The following is a 25,985-nucleotide window of genomic DNA, read 5'->3' on the forward strand; positions in this document are numbered from 1 at the left end:
TGCTAAGTGAAAGAAGCCAGACACAAAAGGTCACGTACTCTATGATTGCTTTTTTTTTGAGATGGAGTCTTGCTCTGTTGCCCAGGCTAGAGTGCAGTGACACGATCTTGGCTCACTGCAACCTCTGCCTCCCGGGTTCAAGTGATTTTCCAGCCTCCCCAGTAGTTGGGATTATAGGTGCCCACCACCACACTCGGTTAATTTTTGTATTTTTGGTAGAGACGGGGGTTTCACCACGTTGGCCAGGTTGGTCTTGAACTCCTGACCTTAGGTGATCCGTCTGCCTCAGCCTCCCACAGTGCTGGGATTACAGGCATGAGCCACCTCGCCCAGCTATCTATGATTGCTTTATATGAAATGTCCAGAATGGGTAAATCCATAAAGATGGAAAGTAGATTAGTGGTTGCCAGGGACTGGGGGAGGAGAGAATGGCAAGTGACTGCTGACGCCTGTGGGGTTTCTTTTTGGGCTGATGACAATGTTCTGGAATTAGATAATGGTGATGGTTGCACAACCTTGTGGCTATACTAAGAATGACTGAATTGTACACTTTAAAATGGATTTTATGATTTGTGAATTATATATTAAAAAATAAAGAAAAAGTAGGCTAGGGCTCAGGCCCCTTCCTCTGGATGGCAGTGGTGGCAGGGGGGTGGTTTGGAAAGACTCCCCCCCACACACACACCAGGCCTCACCCCACTCCTTCCATCTGGGGGACAGAGGCTTCGGCTCACCGAGAGTGACAAGCTGCAGGTGCAGATCCAGGCGTACCTGGACAATATTTTTGATGTGGGGGCGCTGCTGGAGGACACAGAGACCAAGAACGCTGTGCTGGAGCACATGGAGGAACTGCAGGAGCAAGTGGCGCTGGTGAGAGTGGGTCCTGACCCCAGCCCAGCACATCATAGGCCCACAGGGCACACGGGCCACAGGGCCACGCAAGCATGGGCACTGGGCAGCAGACAGTGTTATAATTGTGCATTGGAGGTGCTGCCTGCCTGGCCCCAGAGCCTGGCCTGAATCCAAAGCCTGAATCTGTTGGGTGTCTTTCTCAATGAGTGTGGGTGAGCACCCTCACTGACAGGCCCCTCCTCTACCCAGGCTCAGACCCCAGGTGAACTGAAATGGGTGCCTGGGGCCCCTCCCAGCTCAGTCTCCTCCTCTCCCTCCACCTCCCGCATCACTGGTACCTTGGTTTCCTCTCCTTATTTGCTTGGGTTCGAGTGCCAGGCTCGGCCCACCCTTGGCACCTGGGCTGAGCGGATCTGGGAGCCTCCCCCAGTCTTCCAGGCAGGCATGCCTGATGCCGCCCCCTCACCGGCGGTGCCAGTGCCGGGCTGCGGGTCGGGGCTCACCATGTGCTGGTGCTACAGCTGACAGAGCGGCTTCGGGACGCGGAGAACGAATCCATGGCCAAGATTGCAGAACTGGAAAAACAGCTAAGCCAGGCGCGCAAGGAGTTGGAGACCCTGCGGGTGAGGCTGGGGCGGGTGGTAGGCCAGGCGCCCAAGAACAGGCCAGCTGAGGCTTCTAGGCTTGACATCTCCCTCCACCCCGGGAAGAAGATGGAGGCTTGGTGCCAAGGAGCCTGCTGGTGGGCACTGACCCCTCCCGTGGGGTTCGTAGGAGCGCTTCAGCGAATCGACCGCCATGGGGCCCTCCAGGCGTCCCCCAGAGCCTGAGAAAGCGCCTCCCGCTGCCCCGACGCGGCCCTCGGCCCTGGAGCTGAAGGTGGAGGAGCTGGAGGAGAAGGGGTTAATCCGTATTCTGCGGGGGCCGGGGGATGCTGTCTCCATCGAGATCCTCCCCGTCGCTGTGGCAACTCCGAGCGGCGGTGATGCTCCGACTCCGGGGGTGCCGACCGGCTCCCCCAGCCCAGGTGCGCAGGAGCTTCAGGCTGGCGGGGATGCGGGGCAGGGTCTGGAGGGGAGCCCAGGGGCATCTGTGGCGGGCAGAGTTGGGCGAGGGAGGTTTGGATTGTAGGCTCGGCTCAGGTAGGAGCGCATGCGTAGAGCGGAGAGGCGGAGAGGGGCCCACCCAAGTCAAGGAGCTGACTCGCGCCTCCCCCACGCCGCGCCCTCGCTGGCTCAGATCTCGCACCTGCAGCAGAGCCGGCTCCCGGAGCAGCGCCACCGCCGCCGCCCCCACTGCCCGGCCTCCCCTCCCCGCAGGAAGCCCCGCCCTCTGCGCCCCCACAGGCCCCGCCTCTCCCTGGCAGCCCGGAGCCCCCGCCTGCGCCGCCGCTGCCCGGAGACCTGCCGCCCCCACCCCCGCCACCGCCACCACCTCCGGGCACTGACGGGCCGGTGCCTCCGCCGCCGCCGCCGCCGCCGCCGCCTCCCGGAGGTCCTCCTGATGCCCTAGGAAGACGCGACTCAGAATTGGGCCCAGGTGAGTGGAGTGGACCACCTTGGGCCCGGGGCTGGGGGGAGATGGAGGGAGGGGCCTGGGCCTCAGTGTCCTCCAGGGTCCTCTGCCTGGGGGCCTCCTGCTGCCTCCTGGCTGCCCCATCAGCCCTCCCTGGGCCCAGGTTCCCTCCAGTAGTACCCCCAGTGCTCACCACTGCCCCCAAACCCCCGTCCCAGGAGTGAAGGCCAAGAAGCCCATCCAGACTAAGTTCCGAATGCCACTCTTGAACTGGGTGGCACTGAAACCCAGCCAGATCACCGGCACTGTCTTCACAGAGCTCAATGATGAGAAGGTGCTGCAGGTGAGTGGCCCTGCCTGGCTCCCCATGTGGGCACCGGAGGAAGAGGGGAGTTGCCTGGATCAGGCTGGGCCCTGGGGGTAGTCATTTTCTCCAAGCCATTTCACAGATGAGGAGGGGGAGGCCCAGGGATGGGCATTAAGCCAGACTGGACCAATACCTCTAACAGGCAGAATCCTGCTTTCCCAAACGCCTTCCCCTCCATCCCTGCAGAGGGGTGCCTCCCCTCACCCCACTTCTTCTGCCTCCAGGCCTCTTTCCTTCCACTTTCCCACAGGCAGCCAAGGCTTCAGCCCTCCTGATTCCACTTCCAGTTTTCCAAAAGGATGTATTCTCTTGCCTCTAGGCCATTGTTCCATTCTGTTTCCTCTGCCTGGAATGTCTTTTCCTTTCTCCTTTTTACCGCTGGCCAGTTCAGCTCTTCCTTTAGCTCTTGTGGCCCCAAGTCTGGATCCCCCGGGTTAGGCGGCCCTCCTCCTCCAGGCTCCCTGTGCTTCCCCTGTGCCTCCCATCAGGGCCTGTGGTCAGGCTGGGTTACTGGTTCTCTGCTGGTGGCCTGGTCAGGGCCAGATGGATGGCTCTAGCACTGTGCTCAGCCAGGAGAGTGCCAGACCCCAGCCCCACCCAGCTCCGCCTCCTCACCCTGTACCTTCAGGAGCTAGACATGAGTGATTTTGAGGAACAGTTCAAGACCAAGTCCCAAGGCCCCAGCCTGGACCTCAGCGCTCTCAAGAGTAAGGCAGCCCAGAAGGCCCCCAGCAAGGCGACACTCATTGAGGCCAACCGGGCCAAGAACTTGGCCATCACCCTGCGGAAGGGCAACCTGGGGGCCGAGCGCATCTGCCAAGCCATTGAGGCGTGAGTGTCCCTGTCCTGGGTTTGTGGGCAGTCCGGCCCCTTTGCTAGGCTGGGGTTGTCAGGCAGATCCTAGTAAAAGAGCCTCAATGGTGAGCTCTTTCATCAGGCTTCATACCAACCCTGGTCCAGGAAACTTGTCCCCATTTTAAGGTGGAGAAAACTCAGTCCATGCCTAAATTAGGATGTCCCACTTCCTCCCTGCCTCTTTGCCTAGCTGTGAGCACCCAGGCTGTGGGATTTACAGCCGGGCGTCCGCCGCTGACGTACGATGGGGACCCTGGCTGCCCAGTTCCCAGTTTCTCTGGATTCCCAGTTCCCAGTTTCTCTGGATTCCTACCTCTTGCTCTCTGAAGCTGTTGGCAAATAGAAAATACTGAAATTCATTTATTCAATCAAGGCAGGGGTAGCCCTGCTCCCAGGGACTGGTGGGTATGGATGATGCCCAATCTCCCCTCTCCTCCCTCTCACAGGTACGACCTGCAGGCTCTGGGCCTGGACTTCCTGGAGCTGCTGATGCGCTTCCTGCCCACAGAGTATGAGCGCAGCCTCATCACCCGCTTTGAGCGGGAGCAGCGGCCAATGGAGGAGCTGTCAGAGGAGGACCGCTTCATGCTATGCTTCAGCCGCATCCCGCGCCTGCCGGAGCGCATGACCACACTCACCTTCCTGGGCAACTTCCCGGACACAGCCCAGCTGCTCATGCCGGTGTGGGCGGAGCGGGCAGGGCGGTGTGACTTGGGAGGGGATGGGCAGGAGGCAACTCCCAGCCTGGGCTGCGGCAGGGAACCTGGGAGTACTTGAGCCTCCAGATGGAGGAGGCTCCAACTTATCTTACCTCCCCCATCCCACCCCCAGCAACTGAATGCCATCATTGCAGCCTCAATGTCCATCAAGTCCTCTGACAAACTCCGCCAGATCCTGGAGGTGAGGGGCCAGGAGGTGGGGCCCACCCTTGCCTGTTCTGGATAGTGTGAGAGGGAGACCCAGGCCCTGCTCACCTGCAATGCAACAAAGATAACATTCCCACTTCTCATGTACATGCTGAGAAGGACAAATCTAAGGGTGGTGGCGAGTGGGAAGGGGTACAGCAGCCGTGTCTGTAGCAGCTCACCTGGGACCCTGCCGGAGGGCTCAGTCCCCTTTAGCGTTGCTCTGTGAGCAACCTCACCTGCTCAGTGGAGGGCCCGGGAACCAGTAGAAATGGCTGGTGGACAGGCAGTGACCACACAGACTAGGAGGGGATGCTGGCAACAAGTTGTGGGTTGGACTAGCAGAGGACAAAATTTGGTGTGCCCATGGTGTTAACCGTGCACATGTGTGAGACCTGTGTGTACACACATGTACATGTGCTGTGGATCTGAGGGGCCTGTGCAGGAGTACAGTAGGGGCTGAGTGTGTGGGGCCTGCTCCTTGCCACCTCTTCTCCTCCTTGTGCAATATGCTTAAGCGGTGTCCTCAGCTCTGGCATTCTGCTGAGCCTTTCTCCTGCCTCTCCCAGATTGTCCTGGCCTTTGGCAACTACATGAACAGTAGCAAGCGTGGGGCAGCCTATGGCTTCCGGCTCCAGAGCCTGGATGCGGTGAGGAGGGGCCCCTGGCTTGGGGACTGGGGCTGGGGACTGGCTGGTGGCCTGTGGCTTACAATGGGTCCTTGTGCAGCTGTTGGAGATGAAGTCGACTGATCGCAAGCAGACGCTGCTGCACTACCTGGTGAAGGTCATTGCTGAGAAGTACCCGCAACTCACAGGCTTCCACAGCGACCTGCACTTCCTGGACAAGGCGGGCTCAGGTAGGAGACACACAGATCCTTGGGTGTGGGGAGGGGCCGTGGGCTGGGGTAGGTTGGGAGAAAGCTAGGGGGCCACAGTATATAATTGGTGGGAGGGCTGCCTCTCCGATTCACTGACCTGATACTGCCCCATCCCTGGCCCAGTGTCCCTGGACAGTGTCCTGGCGGACGTGCGCTCCCTGCAGCGAGGCCTAGAGTTGACACAGAGAGAGTTTGTGCGGCAGGATGACTGCATGGTGCTCAAGGAGTTCCTGAGGGCCAACTCGCCCACCATGGACAAGCTGCTGGCAGACAGCAAGACGGCTCAGGTGCGCCAGGGCTGGCCTCACCTGGAGGTGGGGCATGTAGGAGCACTAGATAGCACAGCCTGGAGGGGTGTGGCCGTAGCTGGGACCCCTTGGGGGGATGCAGCAGGAATGAGGGGCCACCCTGCCTGGGAGGAGCTCAGATCAGGTGGCCAGTGTCCTGAGGGGTACAGGCTGTGAGAGGTCTAAGCTGGGGGGCTGACAGGCTGTGCCCACAGGAGGCCTTTGAGTCTGTGGTGGAGTACTTCGGAGAGAACCCCAAGACCACATCCCCAGGCCTGTTCTTCTCCCTCTTTAGCCGCTTCATTAAGGCCTACAAGGTATTCGGGTCTGGGGCAGGCTGGGAGCCCTGTAGGGCACTGAAGCCTTTCTACTGGGCAGCGGAGGGGTGGGGCTGCTTCTGTTTAGGGGGTGGGTAGGGCAGTAGGGAGGGCCACCCTCATGGAGACTGCCTTGGCCCACAGAAAGCTGAGCAGGAGGTGGAACAGTGGAAAAAAGAAGCCGCTGCCCAGGAGGCAGGCGCTGATACCCCGGGCAAAGGGGAGCCCCCAGCACCCAAGGTAGGCAACTGCTCCTGGGCTTGGTACTGGGCTGCAGGGATGCATGGCATCTCATCACCCTCTGGTGCCACCCCCACACCCTCACTGTTACAGACTGACCCTGCCCCAGGAGCCTGGGATGGGAAAGGGTTCTTTCTGCTCAAGCCAGCTGTCCTTGCTGTGGGGGACCAGGCAGATATTCCAGGGTTTTGGTGATGGGGAGGCATCCTGGAGCTGGAGCTATAAATTCCCCCTAGTCACCGCCAAAGGCCCGGCGGCCACAGATGGACCTCATCTCTGAGCTGAAACGGAGGCAGCAGAAGGAGCCACTCATTTATGAGAGCGACCGTGATGGGGCCATTGAAGACATCATCACAGGTAAGGGCTTGGCCAGGCCTTGGTCTTATCCTCAGTCTGTCCTTCTATGCTTTCTTCTGACCCAATGCGCTATCCTCTGGGGGACTGGCTGCCACACTGCTTCTTGCTACCTTTTCTGTTTTTCTTTCCTTTTTCCTTTCTCTACTCCCCTTCACCTGCCCCACCCCCACTCAGTGATCAAGACGGTGCCCTTCACGGCCCGCACCGGCAAGCGGACATCCCGGCTCCTCTGTGAGGCCAGCCTGGGAGAAGAGATGCCCCTCTAGCCCCTCAGGTACCCAGATGACCTGGCCTCTGATACCACGCTGCCCACAGCCCCTGGGACCCTTGGGAGAACTGAGGCATGCTGCCTTCTCCTGGGCCAGTGGATGGCTGGGATGTGATTTGTGGGGTGGAGGGGTCTGGCAAACATAAACGGTACCCCTGCCATGTGCACACAATCTGAGTCCTTAGGAGGCTAAGCTTTGTGCCCTGGAGCCATGCTCCCAGCTCTGGGCGGACTCCTGAATGGTAAATGTGTCTCCTTCGGCTGCCAGATCTGCGGAACCAGCCCTACATCCGCGCAGACACAGGCCGCCGCAGTGCCCGTCGGCGTCCCCCGGGCCCCCCACTGCAGGTCACCTCCGACCTCTCGCTGTAGCCGCTATTTCTGCAGGTGGATTCTGCAGGGGTGTGGGGCCGTGGACAGGCTGAGGCTCAAGGAAGGTGGTCCTCAGCTCGGCTGGCCGGGCAGCCCCTCCTCCGCTGTGGCCCGCCTCAAACGGGCTGGTGCATCCTCCTCTTGGCCACAGAGGGCAGCATCGCCCGCCCCTTCCCCCAAATGCTGCTTGCAGCACCCACCCTAAAGCCCCCTCCAAATAGCCATACTTAGCCTCAGCAGGAGCCTGGCCTGTAACTTATAAAGTGCACCTCGCCCCCGCAAGCCCCAGCCCCGAGGACCGTCCATGGACCTTATTTTTATATGAGATTAATAAAGATGTTTGCAAAAGATCCGCGTCGGCTCCATGCCTGCCGCAGCCACCCGCAGCCTGTTTCCGCTCAGCAAACGCTTTACTTGCACAAGCTCTTCATAGCAGGCCTCTGCAAACCAGCGGGCGCCGGGGAGAAGGGCTGCTTCTTCACTAGAGTTGGCGGCGAGGGAGCCCGCTTCGAGGGGGCGGAGGCTTTCGTGGCTGGCCCAGTATCCCTGCGGGAGGCCGGAGGGGGCGAGCGGGCAGCTGGGGTTAGACACGCCGGGCCAGCCCCGCAGCAGTTCTCCTTCCGGCTGCCCCGCCCCATTTGCGCCAGTCCTGCCTCCCACCCGGGCATCTGGCCCCTTTTCCTTTCGCCCTACCCAGTACTTAGTGACGCCATAAGTGACCTCGCCTTACATCTCCGCGCGTGCCGCCTCCGTCACCGCCTGCCGGGTCCCCATTTCTTCCGGGCCTGCCCCCGCTCCTCGCCTGCCCCTCCCCTCCACCAGCCAGTGTCGCCCCATCTGTCTGTCCTCCGGGCACTTGTCCCGCCCCTCACTGCGTGTCCCTCCCCCGCCCGCCGGCTCTCACCTAGGCCGAGACACGCCCCGGGCTGGGCGGGATCTTGGGGCGGCCGGGCTAGTAGGGCTGGATCAGGCGGAAGCCGGGGCCCGGGGCTGGGCTTCGTGTCCTGCGTTCCGGGAGCGCCAACCCCTCCAGGTTAGGAATCTGAGAGTACGGGCTGCGCGCACCTGGGGCGGGTGCCTGGGAGGAGGTGGAGGAGGAGACGGTCCTCAGAACGGGTCCTGGGGGTCGGAGGCGAGGGCGGGGGTTGTAAGTGGCCGGGAGAGGTCCCTCCCGCGGGTCCCGGCGCCCCCCGCCCCGTCGGGGACGCACCTACTTCGTGCAGTTTGTGCAGCGAGCGCGCCAGCTCCTAGTTGGAGAGGTCGCTGATGCGCGCCGCGTGGCAGAAGGCGAGCCCCGCGTGGGAGCGCCCCCCAACCCCCGCAGCCTGGGCTGAGCCGCAGAGCCCGCTGCTTCTTGAAGTAGTAGCTTGGAGAAGAGAGGCGGGGCGGCCGCCTCAGACACTCCCAGCCCTCTCTGTCTCACAGGTGCGGAAGCCAAAGCAGGGCCGGAAGCCGCTGCTTTGTCTTTGTCCTGGGGCGACTTGGGGCCCAGGAAACAGACTCAGAATTCAGGGCTCCCGTCTCTAGGGCAGGAATATCAGGGGTCCCTGCGGGGGGCAGGGTTTGCTCCTCCCATTGTGGGCCCAGGAGCTGGTATGGTTGTGCCCACCTCATCACCCCCCGTGCCAACTTGGAGGGCACAAAGCCCCGGCCCAGCAGCTTGAACAGCATTTCCAAGAACAGGGTCTGCAGTCCCTGGGGGTACAGAGCTGGCTGTTCCTCACCCGGCTTGGGGGCAAAAAAGGTGAAGGAGGGTGAGGAGGGGGCACCCCCTAAGCCAGGCCCACCCCTCCTCCACCAGCCTTGCCCCTCACCCATGCACTGAGCCAAGCGGTGGTTGTCATCGAAGACACCCAGGAAGTCAATGAAGCTTACGATTCCATCACCTGGGGAGAGAGGAGAGGGGGTGCTGTGGGTGCCTGCCCCCTGCAGAAGGCCTGCCTTGCACATGCCTGCTGGCAGTTCCAGGTGTTAGAGAATCTAGTCCTGCCTCTAGCCAAGGGCAGACCCCAGTTTCAATGGGGGAGAAACGGCCCATGCCTTGGGGGTTCCCAAATCAGGATTAGGATGAACACAGCAGCAACGTTTACAGGCCATGAGATAGGTGTGTTGGTCAGGGCAGGCTTCCTGGAAGAGGGAACTTTAAAATAGGACCAGGCCAGGATTTTGTGGGAAGGGGAGGCATTCTTTAAAAGAATGCCTGGAGGTGGGAGGGGACAAGAAGACAGGGTTGGGGCACCCACCATCCAAGTCTGCCTGCCGCAGAGCCTCGAACGTCTCCTGTGGACTCAGCTGGATACCCACATTGCCCAGGGCAACTTTCATGCTGTGCATGTCCACGGTGCCTGTTGGGCTGGAGCTGAAGAGTTTGAAGATATCCTGGAAGGCTGAGGGTAGAGGGGACAGGTGGCAAGACGAACCACCCACACAAGAACCCTGAGAGCTGCCCACTCTAACTCAGGTGGAACTGACGACTTGGCTCATTCCAACTCCCTCCTGGGTGTTTTAAATTTTTATTTATTTATTTATTTATTTTTGAGACAGAGTCTCACTCTTTGCCCAGGCTGGAGTGCAGTGGCGAGATCTCGGCTCACTGCAGCCTCAACCTCCCAAGGCTCAAACGATCCTCTCGCCTCAGCCTTCTGAGTAGCTGGGATCACAGGTACGTGCCACCACGCCTGGCTTATTGTTTAATTTGTTGTAGAGATGGGGTTTCGCCATGTTACTCAGGCTGGTCTCAAAGTCCTGGGCTCAAGTAATCCTCCCGCCTTGGCCTCCCAAACTGTTGGGATTACAGACATCAACCTCCACACCTGGCCTATAACTTTTAATATAAAGAGTAGCAGTGGCTGTTGTGTGTTGGTACATGTTATGTGCCCATCCAGTCCTCATGTCCAAAACTCATGTTTGAAAAACATTCAAAACTCATGTCCAAGGTCACATCTGGCAGTCTGGCTCTGAAGCTACAGTGTCTTGGAGCCCTGCTGGTGCCTGGCATGTAGTAGGCACTGACCATTGTTGATGATGAATAAAGTGATTCTGCTTTGAGGGGCCCTTGCCAATATCAGGACATGTTGTTTGGGGGAGCACTGGGGCTGTAGTTTCTTTTGCCTTTACCCCTATGGTCCTAGACCCCATGAGGCAGGGGAACTCAGATTTTTCCCCCCATTTTTTCTCCTTCTTTACCTTCTCCCTTCTTTTCCATCCTGTTCATCATCCATCTATCCATCCATCTAAATACCTGCATTCACCTATCTACCAATCCACTGAGTTTTCTTTTCCTTTCCTACACACACACACACACACACACACACACACACACACACACACACAAGACTGTGAGCCCTAGGGTTGTAGAGATGAGCAAATCAGACAAGCATGGAGGGATGGTTGCAAACACTGGCTTCTTGCAGTGACCCCAGCTTCAGGGCAGGCAATCCTTTGTAGTTTTTCCCTGAGCACCCCCTAATTTTCTTCTCTACTCCCAGTCCTGGGGCCCTCACCTGCCAGCTGCTGGGGTGTCTTGCCTGTCAAGCTGCCCCAGGAGAAAGAAAGAGGTTGGAAAGGTCTTTGCATCTGTTGCATAGAAATGCCAGGGCTAGCCAGGCTTTACCCCAAACCCAGCACCCGAGGCCTGGCCTCCGGTCCCTGCCTTCACCTCTGAGACCCAGCATCTGGACCTGACTCGGCTGGATGGGCAGCTTCACAAGGCCCTGGGTTTCTCTTGCCCTCCTCATGGTGTGTGCAGCCTTTGTGGCCATGGCTGCTGCTGGCTCCATCTGGGTCAGCCAGGCAGTATGCAGCTGCAGCCTCCCTTTCTGCATCCTGCCAGCCTGCTCCTTTGCTGGATCTCATGTGAGCAGCCTTTGAGGGTGCTGTGGAGGCCTCAGAGGCAGGAAGGAGAGAGGGCAGAGGGACCCAGCCCACTCAGGTACTCAGACTCCAGGGGACCTGGGACCAGGCCTGTGGGTATACAGTTCCACCTCCTCCCAGGATCCTCCATAGGAAGCTGTACCACAGCCCTCTATGCAGGGGATTCTGGGGAAAGGGGTAGGGCAGTGATTCCCCCCACCCTGGGTGAGGGAAAAGGACCCTCCTCCAGCCCTGGTCACCTGTTTGTTTTCTGTGATGACTCGGATCTCTTGGTCTTCTGCCCTCTGCAAATTACTCCTAAAACTCAACAGTAAGGCCAGGCATGGTGCTCAGGACTGTAATCCCGGCACTTTGGATGGCCGAGGAGGGAGGATTGCTTGAGCCTAGAAGTTCAAGGCTGCAGTGAGCCATGATGGCACCATTGTACTCCAGCCTGGGTGATGGAGAAAGAACTTGTCTCAAAAAAACAAAAAAATAAAACCCCTCAACAGTAAGAAAATGAACAGCCCGATTTAAAAAAAAATGGGCAAAGCCAAGTGTGGTGGCTTACATCTTTAATCCCAGCACTTTGGGAAGCTGAGGTGGGAGGATCACTTGAGGCCAGGAGTTTGAGATCAGCCTGGGCAACATAGAAAGATCCCATCTCTACAAAAAATAAAAAGCTTAGCCAGGCATGGTGGTGCACACCTTTAGTCCCAGCTTTTTGGGAAGCTGAGACAGGAGGATCACTTGAGCCCAGGAGTTCAAGGCTGCAATTAGCCATGATCGAGCCACTGCACTCTGCCTGGGTGATAGAATGAAGCCTTGTCTAAAAAAAAAAAAAAAAAAAAAAAATCTAATCTAAACAAGCACCTCACCAAAGAATATATACAAATGAAAGTAAGCATATGAAAAAATGTTCAACATCATATCTTATCAGCAAATTGCAAATTAAAACAATGAGATACTATTATGCAGCTATTCAGATACCAAAATCCAAAACACTACCACCACCACCAAATGCTGGTGAGGATGTGGAACAATAGGAACTGATTAATCGCTGGTGGGAATGCAAAATGGTGCAGCCAATCTGGAAGAGAGTTTGGCAGTTTCTTACAAAACTAAACGCACCCTTATCACATGATCCAGCAATCGTGCTCCTTGGTATTTATCCAAATGTTTTGAAAACTCATATCCACACAAAAACCTGCACATGGATGTTTATGGCAGCTTTATTCATAATTGCCAAAACTTGGCGGCAACCCGGATGTCCTTCCGTAGGTGAATGGATAAATAAACAGTGATACACCCAGACAATGCAATAGTATTCACCACTAAAAATAAATGCGCTATCAAGCCAGGAAAAGACAGGAGGAACCTTAAACATGTATTACCAGGTGAAAGAAGCCAACCCAAACAAACTGCATACCGTATGATTCCAAATCATTCTGGAAAAAGCAAAACAGTGGCAACAGTAAAAGGACCAGTTGTTGACAGGAGTTGGAGGGGCCAGGTAGAGCACAGAATTTTTAGGGCAATGAAACGACTCTGTATCATACTACAATCAAAACCCATAGAACGGGCCGGGTGTGGTGGCTCGCGTCTGTAATCCCAGCACTTTGGGAGGCCAAGGCGGGTGGATCACCTAGAGTCAGGAGTTCAAGACCAGCCTGGCCAACATGGTGAAACCCCGTCTCTACAAAAATACAAAAATTAGATGGGCATGGTGGCGGGTGCCTGTAGTCCCAGCTACTTGGGAGGCTGAGGCAGGAGAATTGCTCGAACCCAGGAGGTGAACAGAGGTTGCAGTGAGCTGAGACCACGCCATTGCACTCCAGCCTGGGTGACAGGGCACAACTCCGTCTCAAAAACAGCAACAAACCCCCATAGAATGTAGAACACCAATAGTGAACCCCATTGTGAACTGTGGCCTTTTGGTGATGATGATGAGTCAGTGTAGGTTTATCAGTTGTAACAAATGTACCACTGCAGGATGTCCATGGCGGGGGAGGTTGTATGTGGGTGGGGACAGGGGTACATGGGAACTCTTTGTACTTTCCACTCAGTTTTGCTGCAAACCTAAAACTGCTCTAAAAAATAAAGTCTATTAATTTAAAAAAACCTAAGGAAAGATGAGTCCTGAGAGTCCAGTGATGCTTCTGGCTCAGTCCCCCACCGCCCCCAAGACACCTACCTCTGCAGCTCCTCCTTGTCCCTCCTTCCAGTCTCCTTCCCGCTTCTCCTGCTGGCCCTGGCCCATTCTGAACTGCTCACCCCTTCCTAATCCCACCCTCCAGGCCCTGGGCATCTCTCTCCTTGGCCCGTTCGAAAGCTGGGCAGGCTCTTGAAGATCCACAAGGCTGGGCTTTTGCTTAGCAGGGAACCTGAGGCCAGGCCATGGCGCGGCCTCCCATTCTCCCTCCCCCAGGCTTCCCTGTCCACATCCCTGTCCATCCGCATACTCCGAATCCCCTTCCTTCCTTTGCTGCCGTCTCTACTCTCCCAGAAGCCAGTCTATACTGCCTGCCTTCTGGGCCTCCAAGGCCAAACCCTGGGTGGGAGGAGTGTGCATTTGTGTGCATGTGTGTTTTTTTTTTCTTCTTTGAGAGTCTTGCTCTGTTGCCCAGGCTGGAGTGCAGTGGTGCAATCTCAGCTCACTATAACCTCTGCCTCCCGGACCCCAGAGATCCTCCTGCCTCAGCCTCCCCAGTAGCTGGGACTACAGATGCATGTCACCACGCCCAACTAATTTTTGTATTTTTAGTAGAGACGGAGTTTCACCATGTTAGCCAGACTGGTCTCGAACTCCTGACCTCAAGTGATCTGCTGGCCTCTGCCTCCCAAAGTGCTGGGATTACAGGCGTGAGACACCACACCCGGCTTTGTGTGCATGTTTGGTACATGCGACTGTCACAGGCACATGTGTACATGGGCATGTGTGGCATGTGCTGCTTCCTCTGTGTGTGGGTGCTGTATGTGTGATGTGCCGGGCAGCTGGTGGTGTCTGTGTGCACATGTCTGGGTGATCTATGGCTCTCCTGCATTTGGAGGTACGTCTAGCTCCAGCCTGTGACCCTCTGGAGGACCAGTTCTTCGGCCTCATTTTCCTCCCCTTCAAGCTCCTGGACACCATCCCTTCCCCATGCCAGCTCTTCCCCATGAAGAGCGCAGGAAGAACCCCCTCAGACCCACTTTCTCACCTGCCCAGTCCACGCCCAGAAGGCCATCTCCTCAGATGATCCCAACACATCCCTGGCCTCAGGCCAAGAGGAAGCCTCATTTCACAGTCTAAGAAATGGAAGCCTCACAGGACACCGAGGTCTCCCCAAGACCAGCCACAAGTCTTTCTGCTGGCCTAGAGGGCTGGCCAGGAGGGAGTGAAGGGAATTGACCCTGGGGAGTGGGCAGGTGAGAGATGGGTGGCCAGGACAAGGGTGGCATTGCCCTCTGGGGGCAGGTGGAGCTGGGGCAGCTAAAAAATGGGGTGGCATCCCTAAAAAACAGACGAGGACACAGCAGCCAGGAGGGCTCCCTGGCCCAGGGGCATTTGCACAAAAGTCTAAGCCGACGGCCAGCACTGGAGGCTTTATTGGTTCTGTCTAGTCATTTCTCTGGGATTGTGGGGGCTGACAGCTTAAAATGGATTTTCACCAATAATGGATTCTCTTTCTCTTTTCCTGGCGGCACTGAGCTGCAACACAAAAGAGAGAGTGTCACTTGGGCCCCAGAGGGTGGTTGAAGGAGAGGGGTGAGCCCAGAGGCCCCTCTGAAGAGGTCGCTGGGGGTAAGGGGTCTTCTGCTGCTGCCCGCGTCTGGGCAGCTGAGATTACATTCTGTGTCCATTCACTACCAGAAAGCAAGGTGTACTGGAGAGCCCTGCACCCTCATTCTCCCCTCAAGAAAAGTGTCCTGGACCCCAGGGTTGGGGCCAACAGGCTTTCAACAGGGCAGACCCCAGCCTGAGCATTCCCAACCTTGGTGAGGCCCGACCCCCAGGGTGGAAAGCCGCCTAATGCCAGTGTGGTCCTTCCCATTTTGAACCCAGGCCCCTGTGCCCACCCTCCTTGGTCCCCAGGCCTCCTCCAGCCCTCGCCTTGGCTCTGCGCCTCAGTCCACTGGAACCTCGTTCCAACAGCCTTTATGAGGTCACTGAGGTGGAGGCGTCACAGCCCACCACATCCTGCTCCCAGGCCCTCATTCCACTGTTCCCCACCCCTACCCAGCTGTGTGAGGACCCCTGCCACGTTCTAGCACAGCCCCTCTATGGGAGCTGCGGGGCTGGCCTCACTCACTCTTCCTTGCTTCCCTGCAGCAGAGGGGACGTGGCTGGTGGCTGGAGAAGCTGGATTTGCCCTTTGATGGTGGCCCTCTTGATCCCCGGCTTGCTGAAGTCAAAGTAAGATTGAGCGAAGTTCTTGTCTTCCTGACTCCAAGATTTCAGTGGTGCTCTGGCTTCGCGTGGTTTCTCTGGCAGGGTCTCTGCGTGATTTTCTGGCTCTCGCTCCTCCACAGTGGTCAGGAGGGGCTCTGTGGAAGGCTCCAGAGCCTCCTGGGGTGGAGCTTTCATCATGTGTTCCAAACTGGGCAGGTCCATCCTGCTGGAGGAGGCCATGGCCAGGGAAGATGCAAAGGTGATTAGCTCTGTCAGGTCAATGGGTGGCGGGAGATCTGAGGACAGGAGGGGGCTTGGTGCCTGGGAGCTTGTGGTTGGAGGAGCTGAGTGGGCATCAGGGATCTGGAGCTGCTCCTCGGAGCACAGGGCGTTGGTGGGGATGGCCTCCCGGAGCGGGGATCTGATGGGCTGGCCTGCGCTGCCATTGTTGAGCTGCATGTTGATGGCCCGCTGCAGGCTGTGCTCTGAGGCCTGGATGAGCTTGTTTGCCCAGAAGAGGTGCTTGGAGGTCTGCGCACTGATGGAGTGATGGCAGGCAGACACGTGGTTCTCCTCCGTGAAACTCCGGCAGTTTGAATTCAGACTCCACGGTCTGAAGGTCTGTGGCGTGGGCAGCCCCATGTTGGAGTGGACGGACTCTATCTTGCATACCAGCTGCATGGGTTCTTCAAAGTCAGACTCCTCGTTCGAGTTGGCTTCCGTGTCCAGCTCAGCTTCAAGCTTGAGGGCTGGGTATAGCTCTGACTCCAGTAAAGCCGGCACCTGTCCGATCTCCAGTTCTGGGTCTGGGTCTGGGTCTGGGTCCAGGTCCAGGTCCACTTGGAGTTGGGGCTTCTGCTCTAGCATGTCTGCCTCCAGCTGAAATGTTTCAACTCAAAGCTGAGGAGGCAGGAGCGGGAGGTCCTGCCCCTGAGGCCCTCCCTGGCACCGAGTCCCTGCCCCACCCCTGCCCTGGGTCCTGCTGTCTTCCCCCCGCCCCCTAACCCCATGCCTGCCTCCTCTCAGAGACCTGCCCGGTGAGGGGGTGTGTGTGTGGGTGTACCCACACCGGCCTGGTACTAGGGTCCCAGGATTGTCAAGGGTAGGGGCTGGTGGGGACTTAGGGAAGAGCCCTGCCGCTTGCCTACCACCTCCCCGTAAGAGGACACTCCCATTTTTACCTCCTGTTCCTCTTGTATCTGGTGTTGACTTAAGTCATCTCTAAGACAGAAGAAGACAGAGTGGGTGATGGGGATCTGTGGGGCTTCAGCGGGAAGGGGGTTTCTGGGGCCCTCAAAGCCCTCTGCCTTGTAACAGAAGCTGGCACGATGCACCTCCCGCCGACCACCCCGCCACCAGCTCATCCACTCCCCTGCTGTCCCACTCCACTGCCACCAGGAAGTCTGCGGTTGTATTCTGAAACTTTAGTGAGTTTAGGAAGCTGCTTGCCAACTCATGCCCCACCCCCAAAGAGGAATCCAGTTGGTTGGAGGTAAGGCCCAGGAATCTCATTTTTATCAAGCACTGCAGGTGAGCTGGGGCAACTCACTTCGAGGATTAGTGCCCAGAACACTAGTCCCCAGCAGGGGAGCCCCAGAGCAATGTCCTCCCACCCACCTGCCCACTCTTTCTTCAAGTGCCTGCCCACCCCCGCCTTGAGCAGCTCTGTCCTCAGCAAGCCAGGCAGCTCTGAGGGGTCAGGTCCTATCCTGTCCCTGGGTGTGCCCCACCACCCCTCAGTCTTCCTCTCATGCCAGGGGCTGAGGGCATAAACAGAAGTGGGAGGATAGGCGCCCCACGCCCTCCCCAGCCTTTTGGCCTGGACACTGGCCCCGGGGAGGTTTTGGAAATGGCAGAAGGGAGGGAGATCCTAGGCTGGGGGATCCTAGGCTGGGGGTGAGGTCGGAGGTCCTGGAGGGCTCGGGGGAGGCCCTACGTTGATTGAGGATGGTTCTCACCGCATCTCTGCAACCTCCACTGACCCTTTGCCGCAGCATGGAAATCCATGGGCACCTGACAGGGGAAAGGAGGTGAGGGCAGGGAGCTGCAGGGTAGAGGACAGTCCCAGAGGGATTCCGGAGCCAGCCCCCTTTTCCTGCCCTTCTTTTCTCTCTTCCCGGCTGCTATTCCCCCTCACCGTCCTGCCCCGCTCTCCTTGTTCCCGAGCCGGTCGCCATTCCTATCCTCCAGTCCTGCTCCCTCCACTCTCCGTCTGTGCCTTGCCTCCTCGGAGGCTCCCGGTTCCATCTCCATCCCCCAAAACCGTGACTGCTAACAGTACCCTGAACATGACAGAGCGCTTCCATAGCCTGGTCACTTTACCTGCTTTATCTCACTGATTCAACACAAAAAATTAGGACAGGTCCATTTGCCCAAGGTCCCCCAGCTGAACATAGCTGAAGTGATGACTTGAATGCAGGCTTGACTCAGGAAACTCTTAACTCCCTGCCCCCACCGGCTACTCCCAGGACCCTGTAACTGCGTGGAGTCCCAATAACGCCCCATGTGAACCTCCCCCATCTCCCCATTCCTGCTCCTCTGCCGGCTTCCTCTCCTCTCTCTGGGTCATCCATCACTGACTCCAGGCCAAGGCCTGCACCCCAGGTGTGTAATCTGAGGTGGTGCTAGCACCTATCCGACGATTTATGAGCTCAGATCACCCTCTGCAGGGGAGACTGACTCCTTGGGAACGTCCGCAACCCCAAACCCCTCCCTGGAGGCTTGTATCTTTTACTGCAGAAGCTGTTTCTTCACCCTGTGGGAGTGGGAAGCACCAGGCTGCCCTGTTCTCTGCTACCCAGGGCCATGCATAGGGGTTGATGGTGGGGCCATCATGACAACCCTGCCATCATGCAAGGTGGGTCCCCATCAGCCTGGGGTATGGCAGGAAGTGACAGCCCTGGCTCTGGCTGGGAAGAATCGCTCCCAGGATCATATTGGAAGGATGAGAATGTACTGCGGTCTCTTCCTAGAGATGTAGTGGCTGGAGGGAGGGGTCCTTGCATGGCTGGTCTTGGGATTGGGACCATCTGCTTCAGCCTGGTCTTGGGGGATGTATCAGCAGAGTGGCCGGCTCAATGATCTCTTCAGAACCCTCCACCTCCTTGACCACTATGCTTCCCTGGCTTCCTCACGTGTCTCTCTTCTCCCTCTCCAACTCCCCCTGTCCCAGGTCCTGCTGTTCCCCCAGGCTTCTGACCTCAGGGCCTTTGCTCCCTTTACAGAATTTCCCTGGGCAGTTTAATCAACACCCACAGCCTCAACCCCTCCATAAACGGCAGCTGGGTATGGACAGGAGAAGAAATTACTGTTGTGTGAGCCTCTTAACAGCACTGGGGGCTGGGAGAAAAAGTCAGACATTGACTCAGCTTGGGACCTCGTTGCCTGACTTGAGAATGTTCTATTAGGGATTCAAGTGATATTCTGCAGTATATGAAATAATTGAAATAATTTTTTTTGAGGCAGGGTCTCACTCTGTCACCCACGCTGGAGTGTAGTGGTGTGATCTCGGCTCACTGTAACCTCCGCCTCCTGAGATCAAGCGATTCTCCTGACTCAGCCTCCTGAGCAGCTGGGATTATAGGCATGCGCCACGACGCCCAGCTCACTTTTTGTATTTTTAGTAGAGATGGGGTTTCACCATTTTGGCCAGGCTGATCTCAAACTCCTGGCCTCAAATGATCTGCCTGCCTCGGCCTCCCAAAGTGCTGGGATTACAGGCATGAGCCACCGTGCCTGGCCGAAATAATTTCAATTTCCAGTGGTTTGTTGCTAGTATACAGAAATATATCCATCTTTTGTATCCTGCAACTATACTAAAATCTTATTTGTTCTCATAGCTTTTTTTTTCTTTTAGATTCTATCGGATTTTCTACATAGACAATAATGTGTGTGAGTCAAGACACTTTTACTTCTTCCCTCCCAATCTGGTTCCTCTTATTTTCTTTACTTGCCTAATTGCACTGGGGACAATCTCCATACAATGTTGAGTAGGAGTGCGTGTGTACATCCTCGCTTCGTTCTGAGCTTAGGGGAAAGTGTTTAGCCTTTCACCATTAAGGATGATGCTAGCTGTAGGTTTCTTCATGATGCCTTTCATTAGCTTGGGCATCTTTGTGAAGTTTCGTCTCTTAGATTGCTTAGTTTTAATTAGGAATGGATGCTGGATTTTGCCTAATGCTTTTTCTGCATTTATTGAGATGATCATATGGTTTTTCTTTAATATGATATTATATATGTTATACATAACATACGTTATAATACATTAACATATGAGTAATGTTATATTATTTGAGTGATAATTCTTTTATATTTTTATATTCTGTTTATGGTAAAATACATTGTTTTTTTTGAGACAGGGTCTCACTCTGTTGCCCAGGCTGGAGTTCAGTGGCGCAATTTCAGCAACCTCAACCTCCCTGTCTCAAGTGATCCTTCCACCTCACCTCTGGAGTAGCTGGGACTACACGTGTTCACCACCACCCCCAGCTAATTTTTGTATTTTTTGTAGAGATGGGTCTTGTTATATTGCCCAGGCTGGTCTTGAACTCCTGGGCTCAAGCTATCCACCTGCCGTGGCCTCCCAAAGTGCTAGATTATAGGTGTGAGCTACCATGCCCAGCTATAAATTTATTTTTTAAAATGTTAAATCAGCCTTGCGTTACTGGGATAAACCTCATTTGGTTGTGATATATTACCCTTTTTCTATGTTGTTGAATCTGATTGGCTTTTTTTCAGAATTTTCACATGCATATTCATGAGGGATATCGGTGTATAATTTTCTTTTCTTGTAATGTCTTTGTTAGGTTTTGATAGGGAGGATGGCTTCGGCCCGGGAGGCAGACGTTGCAGTGAGCCGAGATGGTGCCATTGCACTCCAGCCTGGGTGACAGAGCAAGACTCTGTCTCAAAAAAAAAAAAAAAAGGAGATGAGGTCTCAGTATGTTGCCCAGGCTGGTCTCAAACTCCTGAGCTCAAGCGATCTTCCCATCTTGGCCTCCCAGAGTGTTGGGATTACAGGCGTGAGCCACCATGCCTGGCCTAATTTCTTACCTCAAATTCATATCTTGTATGTCCAGACTCTTAAGTGTGGCTGCCACGGTTCTGCCTGTCTGACCCCTGTCTCCCTTTCTAGTCTGTCATCTCTCCATACCCCACTCTCCTCGCCCTATTCATCCTTCATCCTTTCACCCAAATGAGAAACCTGGGTCATTTGTGACTCCTCCTCCCTCCGCAGCTACTGCCCTCCTACCCCTGATGCTGTCCTCATCTCCCAGTACCAGAGCCAGCACACACCCATGACTTCCTACCCTTTGGCACTTGGTGCTGAGTGCTTTGCACATTCAGTCTTCATACCTACCCTATGCCCAGTTGGCCACGGCTCTCCTCTCACAGATGAGGAAACGTGTATGAGGTCATGCAGCTATTAAGAGCAGCACACGACCCAAAGGCAGGTCTGGCTGGCTCCAAACTCTGGGATGCTACTCACTGCACTGTCTTAAATCTCTTTAGTCTTCCAGTGGGACCACTGCAACTATGTCCCCCTCCAACCTGGATTTTCAATGACCTCAGAGTGAGCCTGCTACATCTCACTTGTCTCCGGTTACCCCCAGACTCCATGTGGCCTCTTGGTCTGATCTCTACCTTCATTTTTCATCTCTTGGCATCCAGCTTCCTGTCCCTCACCCTAAGCCGAAGCTACCCCCAGAGTACCGCAGGCCTTTCTGCACCCAGTGCCTTTGCAAATGCTATTTCTTATACCTGGAAAGCCTTCTTCTGGCAAAGTCCTACTCATGCCTGAAAGCCCAATTCAAATAATCAGTGTAATCCTCTCCATGACAGACCTGGCTGTCTAATCTACGTTTTACCTTACAGGCGTGAGCCACTGCACCCGACCTCTGGTTTTTTTTTTTTTTTTTTTGACAGGGTCTTGCTCTGTGGCCCAGGCTGGAGTGGCAGCATCATAGCTCACTGCAACTCCTGGGCTCCAGTGAGCCTCCCAGCTCAGCCTCCCAAGTAGCTGGGACTACAGGCTCATGCCGCCACACCTGTCTAATTTTAAACATTTCCTGTAGAGGACAAAGTCTCGCTATGTTGCCTAGGCTGATCTTGAACTCCTGGCCTCATGTGATCCTCCCACCTCTGCCTCCCGAAGTGTTGGGATTGCAGGCGTTGAGCCATCATGCCCACCTAATTTTTGACCGTTTTTAATGCTGGCCCATGCCCTTCTGGGAGAGAGGATCCCCAAAAGAAAGCCACCATTTCAGTGGGGGATCTGACGCCCCTATGGGAAGGGGAGACACAGGGCACTGGGGGCAAACATCTTTGCTCATTGGTTCAGAGAAGAGTACAAGGCATCAACGAAGCGCTCCGTAAAAATGTGCTGAAGACTGCCGCTCCTCCCTGCAAAGCCTCAAGCATCAAGGAGGGACAACTGGATGTGATTTTTTGGATCTGCAGTTCAGGATAATTCATGAGTCGTTTCCTGTGCACAAGGCCATTGCTCCTTCTGTGGTCTCAGAACCCCTTCAAGAACCACTGACTCTGCAGTCCCTACTCCAAGGCGCGCATGCGTGTCCGTGAGAGCACATGGGTGTGCACCGCGCAGGGGCTGAGGCTGGGAGCCGTAGTCAGGGGCACCGGGTGGGCTTTGGCGGCGGGTCGACCTGCCTTTCAGGTGCCGGGGGTTTGGGAGCAGGGGAACGGGCCCTGGGCGGATTCCTGACCGCCCCCTTCGCGCCCCTCCCCCTCTCACTTTCGCTTTCCCCGCCTGCCCCAACCCTCGCCCCCGGGCGCTCGGCCGCTCCCACCTGTCACCCCCATGCAGACCGAGGCTCTGTCCTGGAGGCGGGGAGCGGGCTGGTGGATGCTGCCTCTCCGCCTCCAGTGTGCTCTTTGGCTGAGGGACTGGTGGGCGCTGGAAATATTAGAGGCGCCGGTGCCTGTGATGTCGCCGCCTCTGTGACGTCCCCGCCGCGACCCCACAGGCAGGGAGCCGCATTTAGGTTTCGGGCGGGCGGACGGGGGACGGCCCGAGTGAGGCGTCCTCCGAAGGCTGCGGGCCCGAAGCCAGAACTCCTTCCTCTCCGAAGACCTCGGGGGTGGGGCTCGCGCTTCCGCAGCGGGCCTAGAGCGAGAGGCAGGCGGCAGGTAAGCCTGGCTGTGCTGGACAGGACTTGCACCCGCTCTGCACGCCAGCGGCTCAGGGCTGCCGCCCTTTTCGTGGTCCCAGGGCCCTTCCAAGAACCGGCTAAACCAACCCAAGCCGCGCGCACACACACTTGTGCACACAGGGAGTGTGGAGCCAGATTCGATAAGGCACCCCGTGTGCCCCAGCTCCATGACCAAGGAACTCAGCACCCCGTGTGCCCCAGCTCCATGACCAAGGAACTCAGCACCCCGTGTGCCCCAGCTCCATGACCAAGGAACTCAGCCCACAAAGGCATCCCTGGCCCCATGCAGGGCTCAGGAGGCAGCGGAAAGGGTTAAGAGTCCAGGCCTCAAGGACAGGAGGGGAGGGTGGAGGGCCTGTGGTGTGCATCCGGCATCCCTGGATGGTCAGGGCCCAGAACCCATCCCTATTTCCCTTCTGGTGGTAGGGGGCTGCCTAACTTGGGCAGTGGCACAAAGCATGCAGGCTTTGTTGTCCTCCTCCTCCACCCCTCAGCCTGGCATATTTTGGCGAGGGACTTCCCTGATGCCACCGGGCAAGGTATCTTGCCTAACTGGTCTGAATGACTAGCCCAGCGTTGGGACTAGAAGCAGCCACTGGGAGGAGTGGTGGGAAAGCAGCCCCACTCAAGGGCTGAAACAGTCCTTGTCCAAAACAAGGGGGACTTGAAAAGATCTCAGCAAGAAGGCAAAGAGAGGCAGCTGTTAGGGTCGTGAGGTTCAGCAGGCCGGCAGGCAAGAGAGAGGACACCGATGGCCTGGAAACATTTGTCATCACCCCAAACTTTATTGCTTACAAAGAGTTCTCTACAACCCAGACTCTGCAGTACCAAGGCTGCAGTTCTTTATGTGCTGGGGGCCGGGGCTCTCTCCCCGGGAGCAGTCTGACTCAATGTGGACAGCTGGACAAAGGCTGTCTTGGCAAGATGTGGGAATGAGCTTCTCCCACGGAGTCTCGGCGTCCCCTGCCCCAGGAGGTTGAGGCTAGCAGACACCCCCTGACGATTCACAGCTGATTTAATGCTACGTGAGTCCTGAGTAGCTCCCCTGGGAGAAGAGGCTAAGCTGGGGCAATGGGGAAGGGGGTGCTATTCTTAGAGAAATCTGGAAGAGGTTTGAGGAGTCACATGCATGTGGACAGCTCAAGACTGTGTCCCTTCACCCCATCTCCTGGCTTGCTATGCTCCTACAGTGTCACTGCCCTGCCCTGCCCTGCCAGAGGGCAGCCATGAAAGTGCTTTGAGGTCATCAGAGTGCAAAGTGCCGTCGGCAGTACCCTCTGGCCAGGGGCAGGGCAGGGTGAGTGTCAGTGTGATGCTGAGCTGTGCTCTGGGGAACCAGCACGCTGGACACTGATAGTGGGGCTGGGGCGCCGGAGCGTCTCTCTCTGCTGCTTTCCTTAGCACTGATCATGTCCATCCACAGACTGTTCCTGTCAGGCATATCCTGCATCACCCTTCACCTTTACAGATGAGGGAACTGAGTGCCAGCGAGTCTGGGGCAGTGCTGGGCCTGAAGGGGCTCGGGGCCTGCTGCTCTGGGGAAGAGTGGTAGCCAGCAGCAAAGGGGCACATGTCTGGGGACTGAGAACCACTTCACTTACACACCTTCTTTGGTCCTTGGCTGAACCAGAGGTCAACTCAGGACCTGTGTTGCAACAACCTGAAAAGTGTGGTGTATTCTACCAGGGAGCCTTCCCAGGGTCAGGCATTCTTTTCCCCTACACCCAAAAGGGGTGAGCTGGCCAGGTGAGGCCAGGCAAGGGGTTTAGAGGGCCCCCTTAACCTACGGGCGGGCATACCTGCTGACCTGGTTCTGCACTGAACCTGAGTTTGGGCCCTTACACACTTGACACTCTCACAGCAGCCTGGAGGGTGAGGGGCCGAGGGGCTCGCCCACCCCTTCTGACCCAGGCTGGAAGCTGCTCTCCCCTGTCTGCCAGCAAATGGTCACTGATCCAAGCGGGTCAGGCCAACTCGACTGGAGCAGGGCAGAGAAGATCCTGTTTGTTTCCCGAGGTAACTCCTGCCATCCTCCTCTGTCTCTTCACGTGGCGGAGTGTTTTCTCAGCAGGGTGGGGCAGGGCTCAGGTGTGAAATCCTGGGAGGCATTCTGCTTGCCCCCACCTTGCTGCTGCGAGGCCCTGGTCCCACTGCTGAGCCGGGGGCTGGCAGATCCCTGGGAACGGCTGAGCCTGTGTTTCAGGGCAGCATCGTGCACCGAGCAGGAAGGCTGCTTCCGGCAGTGTGGAGCCGGCGGTGGAGGGCAGGGTTAGGGCCTGTTCTCCAGCTGGCCATGCTTGACCCTCCAGCTCCAGGCGAAGCTGCCATCAGGGGCCAGTGTGCACTGCAGGTCGATGCCCGAGTCTGGCACCTCCATGTCGTAGCGAACAGGCTGCCCGTCTTTGGTGACCAAGCTGAAGGCTGCAGCTGGGATCTAAGGGTGGAGCAAACCAGTGGGCTGAGATCATGGCATAGGGCTCAAGCCATGTAGAAAGGTAAAGACATCTCCTTCCAGCCAGACCGGCAGCCCTAAGGGCACTGCCTGTCTGTCATTCCACGGGACTCAGAGAATCCCACCCGGCTCAAGTGTAGGTCTGGAGGACCTCTTTGTCACCACTGCCAGCCTTGCTTTGAGGCCCTGGGAAATGCTTTGAGGTCCTGGGGGACGTTGAAGGCCAATTCCAAGTATTCCCTAGAGTGCCATTCTACTTCTTTGAAAGCTTTCCTCCTGGAGGGTGGGGCCAGCTGCATTGGCTTCTGGGACTCTGCCCGTCAGAGTGTACCTGCCCCCCTTACCTGGCTGCTGATGCCAGTGGCGATGTCTCCCACTTTGACCCGGTGGAACTCCCGGATGTGCAGGTGTTCACCATTAAGAGACTGTATTTGGACTTTCACACCTAGAAGGCGGACAAGGTGATAGTCAGGAGAGCGGCTGCTGGCTCCCCAAGGACCAGGGTCCTGGCAGGGGCTGGGGGAACGTTTTTGTTAAAAGTCACTCTGCCCTATGTAGGGGGAGCAGGTCTGGCTGTGATGGAGCAGCAGAGATAAAATTTAGGCTGGTCTAAGCACAGCTGCATTTTTTTGTTTTTGAGACAGAGTCTCACTGTGTCGCCCTGGCTGGAGTGCAGTGGCGTGATCTCAGTTCACTGCAACCTTTACCTCCCGGGTTCAAGTGATTCTCCTGCCTCAGCCTCTCAAGTAGCTGGGATTACAGGCATGCGCCACTATACCCAGCTAATTTTTGTATTTTTAGTAGAGACGGGGTTTCACCATGTTGGCCAGGCTGGTCTCGAACCCCTGACCTCATGTAATCCACCTGCCTTGGCCTCCCAAAGTGCTGGGATTACAGGTGTGGGCCACCACACCTGGTCACA

At 56.7% G+C, this 25,985-nt stretch overlaps 3 protein-coding genes, 2 long non-coding RNA genes and 1 pseudogene across 16 annotated transcripts in view, besides 11 other annotated features; 2 read left to right on the plus strand and 4 right to left on the minus strand.

Annotated features, from left to right (window-relative positions):
* Positions 1-2,015, minus strand: part of FMNL1-AS1 (FMNL1 antisense RNA 1) — a 3,753-nt gene extending 1,738 nt beyond the window's left edge. Inside the window, exons 1-2 of one of the 2 annotated variants that reach the window (NR_186808.1) lie at positions 1,356-2,015; positions 735-849 (exon numbers count right to left, since the gene is read on the minus strand). This is a non-coding gene — a long non-coding RNA (FMNL1 antisense RNA 1). Of the gene's footprint in view, positions 1-734; positions 850-1,190 lie in introns of both variants that reach the window. The other variant, NR_186807.1, reaches the window with a different exon arrangement.
* The window catches only part of FMNL1 (formin like 1), a 25,434-nt gene extending 17,871 nt beyond the window's left edge, over positions 1-7,563 (plus strand). Inside the window, exons 12-27 of one of the 2 annotated variants that reach the window (NM_005892.4) lie at positions 721-870; positions 1,374-1,475; positions 1,627-1,879; positions 2,092-2,391; positions 2,586-2,710; positions 3,363-3,565; positions 4,036-4,270; positions 4,421-4,489; positions 5,064-5,144; positions 5,224-5,353; positions 5,498-5,661; positions 5,877-5,978; positions 6,123-6,218; positions 6,455-6,575; positions 6,750-6,849; positions 7,112-7,563. In NM_005892.4, the coding sequence (NP_005883.3) occupies positions 721-870; positions 1,374-1,475; positions 1,627-1,879; positions 2,092-2,391; positions 2,586-2,710; positions 3,363-3,565; positions 4,036-4,270; positions 4,421-4,489; positions 5,064-5,144; positions 5,224-5,353; positions 5,498-5,661; positions 5,877-5,978; positions 6,123-6,218; positions 6,455-6,575; positions 6,750-6,841 (2,223 nt within the window). In that variant the 3' untranslated portion in view covers positions 6,842-6,849; positions 7,112-7,563. The remainder of the gene's footprint in view (positions 1-720; positions 871-1,373; positions 1,476-1,626; positions 1,880-2,091; positions 2,392-2,585; positions 2,711-3,362; positions 3,566-4,035; positions 4,271-4,420; positions 4,490-5,063; positions 5,145-5,223; positions 5,354-5,497; positions 5,662-5,876; positions 5,979-6,122; positions 6,219-6,454; positions 6,576-6,749; positions 6,850-7,111) is intronic. The other variant, NM_001411128.1, reaches the window with a different exon arrangement.
* Positions 1,407-2,125: an enhancer, noted in NCBI's record as "H3K4me1 hESC enhancer chr17:43318529-43319247 (GRCh37/hg19 assembly coordinates)". NCBI's record gives its function as "activates a minimal SCP1, AML or CMV promoter by ChIP-STARR-seq in primed H9 embryonic stem cells {active_cell/tissue: H9 hESC(primed)}" and the evidence as "EXISTENCE:reporter gene assay evidence [ECO:0000049][PMID:30033119]".
* On the minus strand, positions 5,431-11,374 carry EFCAB15P (EF-hand calcium binding domain 15, pseudogene; annotated as a pseudogene).
* Positions 5,723-5,893: a silencer, noted in NCBI's record as "fragment chr17:43322845-43323015 (GRCh37/hg19 assembly coordinates)". NCBI's record gives its function as "represses an EF-1alpha promoter that drives an FKBP-Casp9 reporter gene in an ReSE screen in K562 erythroleukemia cells {active_cell/tissue: K562}" and the evidence as "EXISTENCE:reporter gene assay evidence [ECO:0000049][PMID:32094911]".
* Positions 7,648-7,717: an enhancer, noted in NCBI's record as "active region_12292". NCBI's record gives its function as "activates an Ori minimal core promoter by ATAC-STARR-seq in GM12878 lymphoblastoid cells {active_cell/tissue: GM12878}" and the evidence as "EXISTENCE:reporter gene assay evidence [ECO:0000049][PMID:35858748]".
* Positions 7,828-8,557: a silencer, noted in NCBI's record as "silent region_8616". NCBI's record gives its function as "represses an Ori minimal core promoter by ATAC-STARR-seq in GM12878 lymphoblastoid cells {active_cell/tissue: GM12878}" and the evidence as "EXISTENCE:reporter gene assay evidence [ECO:0000049][PMID:35858748]".
* The window catches only part of MAP3K14-AS1 (MAP3K14 antisense RNA 1), a 20,706-nt gene continuing 2,890 nt past the window's right edge, over positions 8,170-25,985 (plus strand). For 2 of the 5 annotated variants that reach the window (NR_024435.2, NR_110324.1), the window contains exon 1: positions 22,325-22,588. This is a non-coding gene — a long non-coding RNA (MAP3K14 antisense RNA 1). Of the gene's footprint in view, positions 8,249-9,778; positions 9,878-15,379; positions 15,464-22,324; positions 22,589-25,985 lie in introns of those variants that run through there. The other 3 variants (NR_110325.1, NR_110326.1, NR_024434.2) reach the window with 3 other exon arrangements.
* Positions 8,968-9,017: an enhancer, noted in NCBI's record as "active region_12293". NCBI's record gives its function as "activates an Ori minimal core promoter by ATAC-STARR-seq in GM12878 lymphoblastoid cells {active_cell/tissue: GM12878}" and the evidence as "EXISTENCE:reporter gene assay evidence [ECO:0000049][PMID:35858748]".
* On the minus strand, positions 14,638-22,339 carry SPATA32 (spermatogenesis associated 32). 3 transcript variants are annotated; one of them, XM_047435321.1, is made up of 6 exons: positions 22,249-22,339; positions 20,137-20,340; positions 17,398-17,452; positions 16,621-16,660; positions 15,360-16,318; positions 14,638-14,758 (listed from the first exon to the last, which is right to left on the minus strand). In XM_047435321.1, the coding sequence occupies exons 3-6, from the start codon at positions 17,400-17,402 to the stop codon at positions 14,671-14,673; spliced, it is 1,092 nt and encodes a 363-aa protein (XP_047291277.1). In that variant the 5' UTR covers positions 17,403-17,452; positions 20,137-20,340; positions 22,249-22,339; the 3' UTR covers positions 14,638-14,670. The 3 variants fall into 3 exon arrangements, with proteins under 3 accessions (XP_047291277.1, NP_689556.2, XP_047291278.1); NM_152343.3 differs by lacking the exon at positions 20,137-20,340; XM_047435322.1 differs by lacking the exon at positions 20,137-20,340 and having other exon boundaries at positions 17,398-17,483.
* Positions 16,147-16,907: an enhancer, noted in NCBI's record as "H3K4me1 hESC enhancer chr17:43333269-43334029 (GRCh37/hg19 assembly coordinates)". NCBI's record gives its function as "activates a minimal SCP1, AML or CMV promoter by ChIP-STARR-seq in naive H9 embryonic stem cells {active_cell/tissue: H9 hESC(naive)}" and the evidence as "EXISTENCE:reporter gene assay evidence [ECO:0000049][PMID:30033119]".
* Positions 21,983-22,102: a silencer, noted in NCBI's record as "silent region_8617". NCBI's record gives its function as "represses an Ori minimal core promoter by ATAC-STARR-seq in GM12878 lymphoblastoid cells {active_cell/tissue: GM12878}" and the evidence as "EXISTENCE:reporter gene assay evidence [ECO:0000049][PMID:35858748]".
* Positions 22,171-22,776: an enhancer, noted in NCBI's record as "H3K4me1 hESC enhancer chr17:43339293-43339898 (GRCh37/hg19 assembly coordinates)". NCBI's record gives its function as "activates a minimal SCP1, AML or CMV promoter by ChIP-STARR-seq in naive H9 embryonic stem cells {active_cell/tissue: H9 hESC(naive)}" and the evidence as "EXISTENCE:reporter gene assay evidence [ECO:0000049][PMID:30033119]".
* Positions 22,173-22,222: a silencer, noted in NCBI's record as "silent region_8618". NCBI's record gives its function as "represses an Ori minimal core promoter by ATAC-STARR-seq in GM12878 lymphoblastoid cells {active_cell/tissue: GM12878}" and the evidence as "EXISTENCE:reporter gene assay evidence [ECO:0000049][PMID:35858748]".
* Positions 22,253-22,342: an enhancer, noted in NCBI's record as "active region_12294". NCBI's record gives its function as "activates an Ori minimal core promoter by ATAC-STARR-seq in GM12878 lymphoblastoid cells {active_cell/tissue: GM12878}" and the evidence as "EXISTENCE:reporter gene assay evidence [ECO:0000049][PMID:35858748]".
* Positions 22,777-23,380: an enhancer, noted in NCBI's record as "H3K4me1 hESC enhancer chr17:43339899-43340502 (GRCh37/hg19 assembly coordinates)". NCBI's record gives its function as "activates a minimal SCP1, AML or CMV promoter by ChIP-STARR-seq in naive H9 embryonic stem cells {active_cell/tissue: H9 hESC(naive)}" and the evidence as "EXISTENCE:reporter gene assay evidence [ECO:0000049][PMID:30033119]".
* MAP3K14 (mitogen-activated protein kinase kinase kinase 14) overlaps positions 23,364-25,985 on the minus strand; it is a 53,902-nt gene continuing 51,280 nt past the window's right edge. For all 4 annotated transcript variants that reach the window (NM_003954.5, XM_047436997.1, XM_011525441.3 and 1 more), the window contains 2 exons: positions 25,408-25,508; positions 23,364-25,045 (listed from right to left, as the gene is read on the minus strand). In NM_003954.5, coding sequence (NP_003945.2) covers positions 24,881-25,045; positions 25,408-25,508 — 266 coding nt within the window. In that variant the 3' untranslated portion in view covers positions 23,364-24,880. The remainder of the gene's footprint in view (positions 25,046-25,407; positions 25,509-25,985) is intronic.

The sequence above is a fragment of the Homo sapiens genome, chromosome 17, assembly GCF_000001405.40.
Source record: "Homo sapiens chromosome 17, GRCh38.p14 Primary Assembly".
Lineage (NCBI taxonomy): Eukaryota > Metazoa > Chordata > Mammalia > Primates > Hominidae > Homo > Homo sapiens.